Here is a 14,266-nt window from a genome sequence, read left to right on the forward strand (position 1 = left end):
CATTTCTAATCATCTCCATCTCAAAGCTATTTCTAGATCATTCCAGCTTATGATATCTGCCATTCAAATAACACTTATTTTTACTTAAAAGACACATCATGTAGTCCTTACCAAGTGCGAGACATTCTATTCAGAGCTTTATATATTTTAGTACTTTTAATTTTCACATAACCTTGTATTCCCATTTTATGGATGAAGAAATAGAGGCCCAAAGTAAACTCATAAAGCTGGGAAGTGCAGACTAAAGATTCAAACCTGGGCAATTGGACTCTGTGCCCTTAACCTCTCGAGCACATTGCCCACCTGCTTCTGCACTGTCTTACCCATGATCAGCCTTATCTCCCCAACAAGATGGTAGAACCCCAGAAGGCCCCTTCTAGACCACTTGTATCTTCCCCAGCATTTAGTCTCATAGCTGGTCTATCAGCTCCAGGCCAGTATTTGTTCTTTGATTTAAAATCTAATGAATCAGTTGACTTCATGCATTCCCTTGACTCCAGGTAAAATAGAGGCAAAGCCATCCATTATAGGGGAGGCTTCCTGAAATCTAGCTCAAGTCTCTACTGCTGCAACATTGACTTGTTTTTGTTTGTTTGTTTTAGGCTTTCATGAAGATGGATAGCAGATTAATAGATCTTTCTTATGACAACTATCACATCCAAAAACTATTATTTTATTAATTCCTTTTGAACTCTGCCTTGTTCCAAAAAGGATATAGGGTGGCTAATAAGAAACCACAGGCCGGGCGTGGTGGCTCGTGCCTGTAATCCCAGCAGTTTGGGAGGCTGAGGCGGGTGGATCACCTGAGGTCAGGGGTTTGAGACCAGCCTGGCCAACATGGTAAAACCCCCATCTCTACTAAAAATGCAAAAGTTAGCCAGGTGTGGGGGTACTTGCCTGTAATCCCAGCTACTTGGAAGGCTGAGGCAGGAGAATTGCTTGAACTTGGGAGGTGGAGAGGTGGAGGTTGCAGTGAGCCAAGATTGTGCCATTGCACTCCAGCCTGGGCAACAAGAGTGGCACTCTGTCTCGAAAAAAAAAAAAGAAAAAAAAGAAACCACAAAATACAACAGAGAATACATATAAAGAGTGGGAAAGAAACAAAACAAAACACATTGTTACATTATTAATAAAAAGCAATTGCAAAATAATGCATACTGTGATCATGTATACAACTCATAGAAAAAATCTAACCACAGATTTCTATAAGCACATATAAATATTTGTTATTTTAAAAAGAAATATTAGAAGCAAACTCAATAGTGGTTGCTGCTGGGGTGGTAGGGGTGTGGTGGAACAGTTTTAGAGGGAGACAGATGGCGTTCAACTTCATGTAATGTTTTATGGGTTTGAAGCAAATAAAATAGTAACAGTTGTCCATTTTGTATGGCAGGGATCAAGTATAGTATTATTTTGTATATTGGAATTTGAAAAGTTTCTCCAGTTTGAAAAAAAAAAGGGAAAGAAATACAAAAAGATTTGAACAAATATCTCAAGGCTGTGTTTCTTTGCTCTAGGGAGCCACTCATTTTTCTCTAAGCTGTTTTTTTGTTTGTTTTGCTTTTTTGAGACAGAGTCTCACTCTGTCGCCCAGGCTGGAGTGCCATGGTGCAATGTCACCTCACTTCAATCTCCATCTCCTGGGCTCAAGCTATCCTCCTGCCTCGGCCTCCTGAGTACCTGGAACTACAGTCACACGCCATCATGCCTGGCTAATTTTTTGTATTTTTGGTAGAGACAGGGTTTTGCCATGCTGCCCAGGCTAGTCTTGAACTCCTGGGCTCAAGTGATCTGCCCGCTTCAGCCTCCCAAAGTGCTAGGATTACAGGCATGAGCCACTGTGCCTGGCCCTGTCTCTAAGCTTTCTAACAGCCAATATAAAGGAAGGAACCAGGTCAGTTGTATAATTCCCAAGGTCTGGTCATGAGTGTCTTCAGTGTGGAAACAGATCCAGGCTTTGGGAACCCAGCTACCCTAGTACTAAGAACCCTAGAAGCAGTGGCAGCTCTAGAATGTCCACACAGGAGGGTGTATAAGCCAACCACTGGGCGTTCAGGAGTATGTGTGCATGGAGGACGGGGCTGTTTGTTAGGAATCTGCATTTGTATATCTCTTCACCTAAACTTGTTTGTAAGAAAGGCTCAGGTGGGGACCACCTTTGGTTCTGCTGCTGTGTGATGTCATGAACAGCCTCCCCTTGACAGCCTTGCCACCGACCAGTGACCAGTTTATTTGAATGGTATCCGGCAAGGTTCAATCCCTAAAGCCCGACTCCTGTAGGGCAGACCCCCAGCTCTCTGCTGAGCTAGCCTGGCCCAGGGGTGGACTTTTGAACCCCTGAAAGAGTAAAGAGGACATGCATCCTTAAAGCAAGTACAAACAGTATATCCCTCCTTTTGGCTGAGCTTGCCACAAAGGCAGAGGAGTGGTAAGCTGAAGGGTGTGCTGCCTGGCAGGCACCTGGGAGGTCACCAATATCTTCTTCCCCTTGTAAGATAAGACAGTCAAGTTGGGAGCAGGCATGGCTGCACCCTTGTGGAAGCTCAGGAGATTGGGGGCTTGCCTCTCTAGACTGCCATCCCACCCCCTCTCAAGAGGAGCCCAGGGGGTCTCACGGCTCCACCAGGTTTGTCTTTGGGAAGCGTGTGGAGTTGGCTCCATCGCACAAATATACGGTGATGGAGGCATCTGGGGTCTACTCCAAGACAGTCTAGCCTGAAAAATGTTTAACGCAGACGTAACCAGATATCCACCCCCACCCCCACCAATTCTGCCAAAAAAGAATTTGAGAATGTTTGCCCAGACGCCCCACTCTTCCTGGTGTGTCCCCTGGGTGCACTGCTTGGGAAATGAACTCCACTGTGACAGCATGAGGTGTGAAGCTGACGTTTGACAATCGGTTTATGTGGCTTTCAGAAGAGTTGCTCTATTTCCTTGCCCTGTGGCAATAATTAACAAAGAGAACCAACTGCCTATTGAGGCCTCGCCCAGAGCACTTATTCTCTAAACAGCTGCTCTGCAGAGCGAGGGTTCTGGAGCCAGAATCCAGCCCCACCCCTTCCTAGGTGGCAAATTACTTCAACTTGCTGAGTTTCAGCATCCTTATCTCTAAAGGGGAGATAATCATGTACCTGCTTCCCTAGGTTGTTGTGGGAAGTGCGTGAGTGGGCTTGCGCTAATCATAAACATTTACTATTATTATTATTTATGTGGGTGGTAGCATTTCTACCATCGAGTCCTTCCTTCTACCTTCTGCCCTCCAGACAAATCTCAATCCCTCTGTGACTCGACCCTCCAGGCCTTGAAATGCTTTCCTTGATTTGATACTGGCAGCAAGTCATTCCACCTCTTCATGGCAACACCAGCTCAGACAAACCATGCTTCAGTCTGGGCCTTAAGACAGTTTCCTGGGTCAGATGGTTTCCAGGGTTCTGGGGTTTGTGTCATTGAGCGGAGGTGGAGTGGGGGTTGGCAGCGCCAGGCCCCTCACCCCAGTGGCGGCTTTCTGAGAAGGGCATCCCCTTTTCCCTCACTCCTTCTCTCCCACTCTCCCCACCATCTCCAAGGGAGAGTGAAAATTGGGATTCAGTTAATCCTGAAGAAAACTTCCCTCAACTCTTTCTTTGGAAAAAGGGTCTGTGAGCTGAGAAGTCCTGGTTGCTGGATTGGCCAAGTTGTGTGGAATGAAACAAGTAATTTCTGAGGTGATAAGAGAGACTCACAGGCCTCTACAAAGAAGAAATAGGAAAGGCCTGCTGGATATTGTGGGGAGGATGCCCAGGGACCCTCGCTAAGCTCCCTTCTGCACACAGCTGGTCTGCCTGCATTAGCATGCCAGTGCTGAGGGCCGCTGGGAGCCACACTTTATGGATTATCTGGAGCTAAGAGTAATCCCAAAATTCACAAACACAGGCCCCAGGAATAACAGAGAGATGAAAATTGAGTGGGTAGGGTGAAGGGGCACTGACTCCTGGCAAGCAAATAATATTATGTTCCCATGAAAATATTCTCAAACTTTTAGGTTTCAGAACACGTTTTCACTCTTAAAAATTATTGAGAACTCAATAAAATAAAATAAAGAACTTTGTTTTTATGGGCTATATCTGTTGATATTTACTGCATTAGAAAGTAAAACTAAGAATATTTAAAATGTGTATTTATTTACACCAAGAATAGCCAAATAAGCCCATTACGTGTTAGTACAAATAGCATGTATTTATGAAAAATGACTATATTTTCCACAGCAAAAAAAAAAAAAAAGAAAAAATCAATGAGAAGAGTGGCATTGTTTTGCACTTTTGCAAATCTCTTCAGTGTCTGGCTTAATAGAAGACAGCTGGATTCTTCTACCTGCTTCTGTAGTCGGTCTTTCGTCATATTGCACATTGCGTAGCTTCTGGAAAACACCAGTGTATACTCCTGAGAGAATGAAAGTGAAAAAAACAAATAATATCTTAGTATTACTATGAAAATAATTTTGATCTCAGGCCCCCACCCCCACCCAGGGGTCTCCAAACCACACTTTGGGAACTGCTGTTCTAGTGAACTCTGGAAATAACTCTTCCACCCTTCAAAGATTCCAAAAGTTTCTTCTCACTTTGTAGCTTCCTTCCGTTTTATTCTTTCTCTAACCCTGGTCTGCATCCTAGACCGCTGGGCCATTGGAGAATCTCAGACAGGGAGGCTAAAGGCTGAGAATCAGGAGATTTGAACCACTGTCCAGGTGCCAGCTCCGTGTAGCCTGAGAAGTACCAGTGGTGGCTGGGATTCTGTAGCACCTCCAGTGAAGCACAGAGATGGCCTTGTTGGGACCCTCCCCGTATACTATGATGGGAGAAGACTCAGGACAGCACCAGACTGGAAGATGTGTGTTTTGCCTGAGTTCCTGGGCCAATCGGTAGCAGGACCAATATGAAAACTGACATTGGCTGGTCCTAGCACCTTATCTGCCAACCCGCATTACTCAGTTTCCCCACGTATAAAATGGAGATGATTGTGCTGTCCATTCCTAGAATTTGATTTTGCCCTTTTTTTGCCTGGGTCGTTGATCATCTGTTTCAATACCATTATTTTATAGATACTGAAATTGAGACCAGAGATCAAGTGACCCATCTAAACTCACATGGCCAGTACTCAAGCTCCTGGTTTCTGCACTAAGGCCAATTTTTTTTTTTTTTTTTTTTTTTTAGATGGAGTCTTGCTTTTTCGCCCAGGCTGGAGTGCAGTAGTGGCACAAGCTTGGCTCACCGCAACCTCCGCCTCCTGTGTTTAAGCGATTCTCCTGCCTCAGCCTCCTGAGTAGCTGGGATTACAGATGTGTGCCACCACACCCAGCTAGTTTTTTGTATTTTTAGTAGAGACAGGGTTTCACCATGTTGGCCAGGCTGGTCTTGAACTCCTGACCTCAAAGGATCCGTCGGCCCCAGCCTCCCAAAGTGCTAGGATTACAGGCGTGAACCAATGTGCCTGACCTTAAGGCCAGTATTTTTTTCACTGCCTGGCTCATGCCTGTAATCTCAGCACTTTGGGTGGCCGAGGTGGGCAGGTCGCTTGAGCTCAGCAGTTGGAGACAAGCCTGGGCAACATAGTGAAACCCTATGTCTACAAAATATACAAAAATTAGCTGGGCATGGTGGCACATGTCTGTGGTCAGAAGGCTGAGGTGGGAGGATCGCTTGGGTCTGGGAGGCAGAGGTTGCAGTGAGCGGAGATCACATCACTGCACTTCAGCCTGGGTGACCAAGTGAGATTCTGTCTCAAAGAAAAAAAAAAAAAGGGAAGAAAGAAAAGGAGGAACGGAGGGAGGGAGGGAATATAAAATGAGACAGTTGGACAAGAATAATCTTCAAGTCCTTTCCAGCTCTGGAGTTTAGCAAATCTCATTTAACTTGTGCTGAATGCTGGCCCAGTTTTCTGGAAAAGTTCTTGGTCATCGTGTCCTAAGTGAAGTGTTTGCTGCATGTTCTGTAGACAAAGCAGCTTCCCTCTGCGGATTTTTCACTGCATGATCCTAACAGAAGAACAGAGACCCCACAGATACTGCTAACAGTTACAGCACTTTCCGAAGATATGGCTGGGGGAAGCTTGAAAACTTCTCTGTAATGAAAAAAGAGCTAGAAAACGAGATACTTCCTTACCCCGGTGAGACCGTATGCCTCTCCACCACTGTTGTTTCTCTTTGTGCTGCTTCATACCTGCATCCGCGAGACTCAGGCAAGACCCCAGGAGTGGAGAAGGCTCCATAACGGCCCCTTCACATCTCCTGGTACAAGGTACAGGAGCACCTATGATCAAATGAGTAGTCAGTGGTACATAAAGGAGCAAAATAATACATTATATCCAAGAATAATCGGATCAAGCAAGTGGAGGGGGGAGATTAATGAATTAGGAACCAAATGAGAGTGGATGGAGAGCCTCAGAAGGCTGGAATGAGGCTGATTGAAAATCCATTTCCCATAAACCAACTGCCTTCTCTGCAGAGGCTCAAGGCTGTGTGGACAATAATATGTAGATTGGCGGGAAAGCTATCCTCCTTGCAAGCTGGAGAGAGACAGTGTTTTTTTGTGGCACTAGATAAGAAAGAGCGGCATGAAGAGAGAAACAGATCAACGGAACAGTAGGGGCCATTTGCTTTTCCACATCGTTCCGTCTGCTCTAGGTTCTGGGGTCTCTGATTAGCTCTGTGTCTTGCTGGGTGATTTAACAGATTTTTTTTTCTGACTTACTGACAAGGAAGCTCCAAACTTCCAATAAACCTGCCATGGAAGCCAGCTGGGACCCAAGGAGAGAGCCACAAGGGTGTTTTAAAAGCACCTGGCTCTCTGGGGAAGCTGCTGAGATGTAGGTGTTAGTAATTCTCTCTCCGACTGCTTCTTGCTGCAGGCTGGCCAGCCTTGGCTTACCCCAGAGGGCGACAGGGACTTTGGCCAGAAGAGTCAGGGAAGGAGACAGGGGTGCAAACTGGGTGAGACCAACCTTGATCACTGTAGGATCCCAAGCCCTCAGAGTGGGGCCAGGCCTCTGGGGTAGGCCCTCGGTCATGGGCCCAAGTTGCAGGAGGACTCACTTGTTATAGGACGCATCTGATTCTTCTGCAAGGGAGATTCGTGTCCAGAGGAGAGCCATAACTTGCTAGGGCTGGAGTCGATTCCCCGTCCACACCCACCTCCTCTTATATGTGTGTGATTCTTCAGCCACTGTTACATGGAAGCAGAGATGAAACATTGCCTCTGGTATGAGAATACAGGCCTTCTTACACTGCTGCAAAAGTATGAATTGGTAAACTCTGGTGGGGGTTAATTTGGCAATACATGACAAAAGCCTTAAACAGGCAATGCTTTCCCCCAACAACTGCATTTCCAAAAATATATTCACAGGAAATAATCAAACAGCATTTGAAAGTGAATGTACAAGGGTGCTTTTGTATTGTTGATTATCACAGCATCAGAACACTGGGAAAGCTCTCGACATCCACCAATAGCGTTGGTTAGTAACTGAGGGTATAACCATGCCTTGGAGTAGTAGATAACCATTCAGAATGATGCTGTGGTGCCATATGTGTTAACACGGACGCATATTTACAGCATGTTGGATTTTAAACGGCCAATTACAAAACAGCATTGCATGATGTCATTCCTCTTGTTTTAAACAAATAAATATCACACATATGCATGAAAACAGTCTGAAGGATACATATGACATGTTGACCGTGGCCATTCAACATGCTAGGGTTTCAGATGGTTGTTTTTCTTTTTGCATGCCCATTCTATATAATAAGGATATATTTACTTGTGCAGTGTTTAAAGGGTAAGCTGGGGAAAACCTGGGTCTATTGCTGGTCAGCTCCTAGCTCTGCTGTTCCTCATTGTTGAGCACAGGAAGGCAAGGCTTAATCCACCTTCCCGAAAGACCACCAGGAGACACAGTCTCATTACACAGTGCAGGCAGCTCTGGTAGAGGGACCAACCCAATTCCAGAAAATCCTCAGGGGCTCAGAACCATCCTCCCCTTTCCTCTAGAGATGGAAAAAGTCCACCAGGGCAGGGACCCTGAATCACTTGTCCCCCTGCCTTCAGAGGAAGCCCGGAAGCCCTCCCAGGCTCTCACCATGCTGCCCAGGTCATGGGTAGGGGAAATGTGGGAACAGCAGGAGGGAAATAGAGAATAAATGGCGTAAACTAAATTTGTCTGATGTTCCAGCAGAGAAAATCTTGTGATGAAGCCGACAAGCATTAAAAAAAAATTTTTGCATACAACAACAAAACATTTTGATCCCAGTGCCTGTTAACCTTTTCTTTCATCCACCAAGGAAAAACCAAGACAGAAGTCTTTAAGGCATCTCACCTTTTCACTTGTGATAATTTAGGGGACGTGCAGGATAAAATCATTGGTGAACAAATGTATAGTTCCTTTCCACATATATTGCATCTTTAGATTCTAAGCCTCCCAAGCATATTAGAGTAAATGCCTCCTTTCTGAGGTTCTGATGGACTAAAGAGCAGCCCAAGGACTAGTGACCAATTGTGAAACAAAGTGTGGCTTTAAGAGTCACTGGCCTGGGCTGGGTGCGGTGGCTCATGCCTGTAGTCTCAGAACTTTGGGAGGCCGAGGCGGGAAGATCACGACGTCAGGAGTTCGAGATGAGCCTGGCCAACATGGTGAAACCCCATCTCTACAAAAAATACAAAAGTTAGCCAGGCATGGTGGCCTGTGCAGAAGGATCACTTGAACCCAGGAGGTGGAGGTTGCAGTGAGCCAAGATTGTCAGCCTGGGCAACAGAGCGAGACTCCATCTCAAAAAAATAAAAAATAAAAAAATAAAAAATAGGAGAAGAAGAGACTCTGGGCCAATACTGGCTTCCCCCAAAACAGGGCTCTGATAAAAGCAGGGCTGGAGAACACGGCCTTAGACTTCCCATCAAAGTGTCAGCTGCTACTCCTTTTCCCCAAATCTCTGCCTATTCTTTCCGCAGAACCCAAGGATATGGTGCTAGGAAAGGCCAATTTGAAGCACATTTGCTAGAGAAAAAAAGAGCAAGCCAAGACAGTAAACCTGTCTATGCCTCCAAAGTGGAGCAGATAAGCCAGCTGGGCTACCCAAACCCCATGGTCAGGCAGAGGCAAGGCAGGGAGTGAAAGAGGAATGAGCAAAGTGGTCATGAATCTCTCATGTAGAGGGACAGTTCATCTCTGGCAGTCTTTCCTCCCCCTGTAGGGAGAGAGCCCGGACATGGGAGCATGAATGGTTTCGCAACACTCACCCCAGTGGGGAAGAGGGCTGAGAGAAGTTCTGTCCCCCATACAGACAGAGGCAGAAACAATGGGAGGAGAGGGACAAGTTTCCTCGCTCAACAGCAATGCCACAGCTGATGGAAAGAAAAGGACTGAAGGTCAGCCTTGAGACACCCTCATTCATCCCACCTTGTGTCCAGACCAGCCCTAATCTCTGCTTTTCTGATTGACCTGCCTTGACTTGGAGAGAACTTCCCAACGTCTTCTTCCTGCCTGTAGATCTGCTCAGCCTTGTCTCTCCATCTCCCTAGTTGACCTGTCTGTGCAGCAGGGACTCTGTAGCCACTCCCTGGGAAACCCTCAACTTGCTCAAAGAGACAATCGTCCTTGGTTGCCAGTCTTGTCACACTTCCTGAAGTGCTGATGAAAGACAGTGAGGGCCTAGGCGTGGTGGCTCACGCTTGTAATCCCAGCACTTTGGGAGACCAAGGCAGGCGGGCAACTTGAGACCAGGAGCTCACGACCAGCCTGGCGAACATGGCAAAACCTCGTCAATAATAACAATAATAATAATAATAATAATAATAATAAAATTAGTTAGGCTTGCTGGCACGTGCCTGTAATCCCAGCTACTCAGGAGGCTGAGGCACAAGAATTGCTTGAACCTAGGAGGCAGAGGTTGCAGTGAGCCAAGATCACATCACTGCACTCTAGCCTGGGCAACAGAGCCAAACTCCATCTCAAAAAAAAAAAAAAAAAAAAAAAAAAGAGAGAGAGAAAGAGAAGATCAGACAGGAGAGGAGACGAGGGGTTGGGCCAGAGGGATGAAATTTTGTTCCCAGGACACAGAACTAATCCCAAAATCAAGTTTCATAAATGACCTGCCCACTCTCTCCTTTAGACAATAAGCAATATAGATGATTTAATAAGGATCCCTAATAACCAACCAGAGGACTCCCTCCTATTTCAGAAAATGGCCTTAGTTATGAAATAGCCATAGATAACATATTTGGAGGGCCGGCCCCTTTTCTGGGAACTAAATTCTGCCCACAGTCCCTCTGCAGGGGCAGGTTTAGATGGCCATGACTTGCCTTAGGTTATTTTCCCCTCCCCTCCAGCTGCAGTTGATTGGACCAGGGGTGGTCACCTGATTTCAGAGAAGCTAATATAAGTTGGTGAGTTCAGCCAATCAGATTCTCCCTTGCATATGCAAAATGAGAGTATTTGGTGGTGGGCGTTTGAGAAAGGCCTCACAGAATGGGAGTTAGAGTTAATGACAGGGAAAACCCAAGCCACATGCAAGACAAAATTGGAGGGGAGAGGGTGGCCAGAGGAAGTGGAACAAGATGGTTTGCAAAGAGAATAAAGCAGACCAGGCGAGAAAAGCCAAGGTTGAGGAAAAATGGGAAGCGAGAAGAAGCGGGAAAGAGGATGGAAAGAAGGAAAGAGAAATGCAAAGAGACAGAGATATGGGAGGTGGTGGAGGAGGGAAAGAAATCTTCTTGGCTTCTTGTGGCTTCTCCATTACCAGCTTTAGTTTCTGAAAGGCATATCTTTATTTCTATTTCTGTAACCTGATTCCATGTCCTTTTAGTCATCATCTGTTTCTTTAAGTTTCTGTTTCTCACAACCATTGAGCTCTGACTCAAACTATGATCTTAGCCATTGTAGCAGGATGGGGCAACTTGAGAGAGTTGCAATCTGCCACTGGACATGCTCCATCAAGTGGAACAGGCACTGGAGCGACACAGCCAGTTGCAGGGACTAAACAAAATCAGGGGCAGGTTCCACATGGAAATCTGGGCAGATGAGCAATTGGCATCTGCAAAGAGATTGGCAGAGAACTGGGTCCTGGGCTGAGAGACAAGAAAGGGCAGGAAGGGAGAAGGGAACTGGTCAAGTCAAAGCTGGGTTCTAGTTCTGGACATACTGGGTAGGGATTCACCCAGATGGAGCCCATAACCAGAACCAGTGGCCAAGAGCTTGGGCGTTATCTTTTAAAGACCTTTATAGGAAAAAAAACTCTTAAAAAAAACAATAAATACCATTTTTGTAAGTGTCTCCAAAGGCACCACAGAGTTGGTGTCTTTATTTAAAGTGGTAGCTAATGCCAAGTCATTTCCTGCAAGCTTTGGAGGACTTGAACTCTAACTCCAAAGTGCCTGGGGCCTCTATCTCACTCCACAAATACTTTATCCTCTTGTAGTTTATTGTTGTTATTTGCAGTAGTTATGTTCTATAAAGTTGCCTCCAATGCTGAATTAGCAAACACTAAGCCATTGCTCCCAGGGGAAATATAGGGTTAGGTTCCTGCAAGCCTCTGGCCACATTTTCACCAACAGATCAATACATAACCTTATTTTGTGTGTGTTTTGCTTCAAGATGCCATATTTAGTATATATTGTTGCCTCATTAACAGTGAATTCACAGCCAACAGTGCAATAACTCATACCTGAACAGTTCATCTAATAAATGTATTTTCTTTAGAAGACCCCACTAGACAGCCCAACTGAACATTGAGGACCCCTGCCAATTTCTTGTACTCTCCTATGCTTCTGGGCCTTGCTACATGTTATTGCTGCTTCTCTAAGTATCTTTTCCAATCCTCCCTCCCCACAGACTCTTTCTACAACTTGCCCTGCCCCCTAATACCCTGACAGCTGGTGAACATCTACTCATTTTTCAGCCTTGGGTCCAGCACTACCTCCTCAGTGAAACTTTTGCTGAAAATCTAGAGTGTCAGAGGTTCTCCCTCACGATCTGTTTCTGTATTAGCACTAGAACTCTTACCATGCTAGTGGTATAATTCTTTACAAATGTGTAAAGAACTCTGATTCTTTTGGGGAAGAGAGCATTATGAATTATTAATTCTTGTAGCCATAGTGCGTAGCACAGTACCTGGCTCCTAAGAGTCACGCAATAAATATCTGATGAAAGAATCATCCAGGCTGGAAGGAAGCCCAGAGTCTGTGCTGGGCTAATAGCAATGGGGACTGTATCTGATTCTCAGCGAGCTTACCTGCTGATCAGACTTGGTCCTATCAGATGCTGAGCTTGCAGGAAGGGATCCAGCTGAGAAGAGAGGGGTCAACACCAGGTAGGGCCTGGGAGCATTCATCATTGCAGACAGGTGAGTACAGGTCACCATTAACTTTCAGTTGGAGGAGCGCTCATGTGCACTCACAATATGGGCAGCCAAGTTCTAGGCCTCGGAGGATCAGGCTGAATTGGTGGAGGGATCGAGATGTTGCAGCTGGAAATAAAAAGAGATACACGTATTATGCAATTGCACTTACTTACATAAAACTACTGAGAAATAATTTGCTTCATTACCATGCTACTAAAACTGCTAGTTGTAATGTTGGGTCAAATAAATAAGTTATACAAAAAGCCATATGTACAGATCATTGCTTTCCTAACTTTTTGTCTCCCTCCTTTTATTAGTTTACCCCCTGACCTCTATATTTTAAAAGATACTGTCATCCATCAGGGAAGTGGCATTTTTAGTAACTCTTTTTCCATTATTATTAGAGATACAGAACTGCCAATCAAGCTTCTGACCACCAAGAAATACCACTTGGATTTGCTCTATTCCAGCCAAAAGTAAAGAAGCTTGCTATTTACTCTCCTTAAGGTGGTTAAATATATTATTTCTACCTGGCTTTTAAAATATTGAAATACAGTTTGGGAGGTCGAGGCTGGCAGATCGCTTGAGCGAGCCCAGGAGTTTGAGACCAGCCTGAGTAATGTGGTGAAACCTCATCTCTACAAAAAAAAAAAAAAAAAAAATTTACTCTGGAGTGGCAGCATGCACCTGTAGTTTCAGCTACTCAGGAGGCTGAGGTGGGAGGATTGCTTGAGCCCAGGTGATAGAGGCTGCAGTGAGCTGAGATGGCACCACCGCACTCCAGCCTGGGCAACAGAGTGAGACCCTGTCTCAAAAAAAAAAAAAATTGGAATAACTTCCCTGTTACTCATTACTAAGAGTGTCATGGACCTCTTCAGAAACGCTGGGTTGAGAAAAACTGAAATCGATGTCTGAATTTGCTAGTGGTTCATGATGGTGGCAGAGATATGTGAAGACGCTACTTGGGTTTTTGCCCATGACTCACCCAGCCCAGGTTGAGGAAAACTGAAATCAACGTCTGAATTCGCCAGTGGCTCATGACAGCAGTGTAGATAAGTGAAGATGCGACTTAGGTTTTTGCCCATGACTCACCCAGCCCCGGTAAGGTGACTTTCAGCCTCTCTCCAGTGCTTTGTTCTCAATAGATCCAGATGATCCTCCTCAGCTGTCCCTACCCTTGGCATGGTGAGCTGTGAACTTTGGTTTTTCCTGTATTTTCCGCAGCCCCCTGCACAGTGGCAATCAATGTTGATTGAATGATCACATCTTCAATGGTGGCCCACAGCTCCCTGTGGTAAAGTGTAAAATTCTCTTGTCTAAGGTCCCTCTTGTGATGTTCCTAGGGTCTCTGGGCGCTTTTTGCTGAGAAGATGTACAAGAAACGGCCAACCCTGTGCTAGAGAGTTCAGAAAAAAAATTCCAGGAAAGCTGTGGGGCACAGCGGAGATGGAGCAGGCTGCCATCTCATCGTCAACTGCACCAGTTCGAAGAAGTAAATTACATAATTATATGTTTGAAAGCTTTCATAGGCACATAAGATGAAATTCCTTGGCAGACCACTGTTCCTATCCACAGGGAGAAGTTCCTGAGGTCCTTCTGCTTTGTGGTTGACACTTGCTAGTTGGACATTCCTGTTCCCTGAACTCCTTCTCTGTCACCTCCTCCCTGCTGCCCAGAGTAGCCTGTCAGCTCACCCAGGCTGGGCCTCTGAAGATCATGGAAACACCTTTGGCTGAGGTGCCAGTGAGGCCTGGGTGCTGATTCTAGACAGACAGAAAGCACTGAATTGGGAGGCAAGGCCCCAGGCTCTGCTTTAGCTCTGAAATTTACTTATCTGTGGGGCCTCAGTTTCTCCACCAAGGGTTGTCTGCTCTGGAGAAATGCAGTCCCCTCTTCCATGGTCCTGTG

General features: G+C 45.6%; 1 annotated feature.

The window, feature by feature from the left end:
- Positions 10,714–10,823: an enhancer, noted in NCBI's record as "active region_15686". NCBI's record gives its function as "activates an Ori minimal core promoter by ATAC-STARR-seq in GM12878 lymphoblastoid cells {active_cell/tissue: GM12878}" and the evidence as "EXISTENCE:reporter gene assay evidence [ECO:0000049][PMID:35858748]".

Source organism: Homo sapiens, chromosome 2 (genome assembly GCF_000001405.40).
Source record: "Homo sapiens chromosome 2, GRCh38.p14 Primary Assembly".
Lineage (NCBI taxonomy): Eukaryota > Metazoa > Chordata > Mammalia > Primates > Hominidae > Homo > Homo sapiens.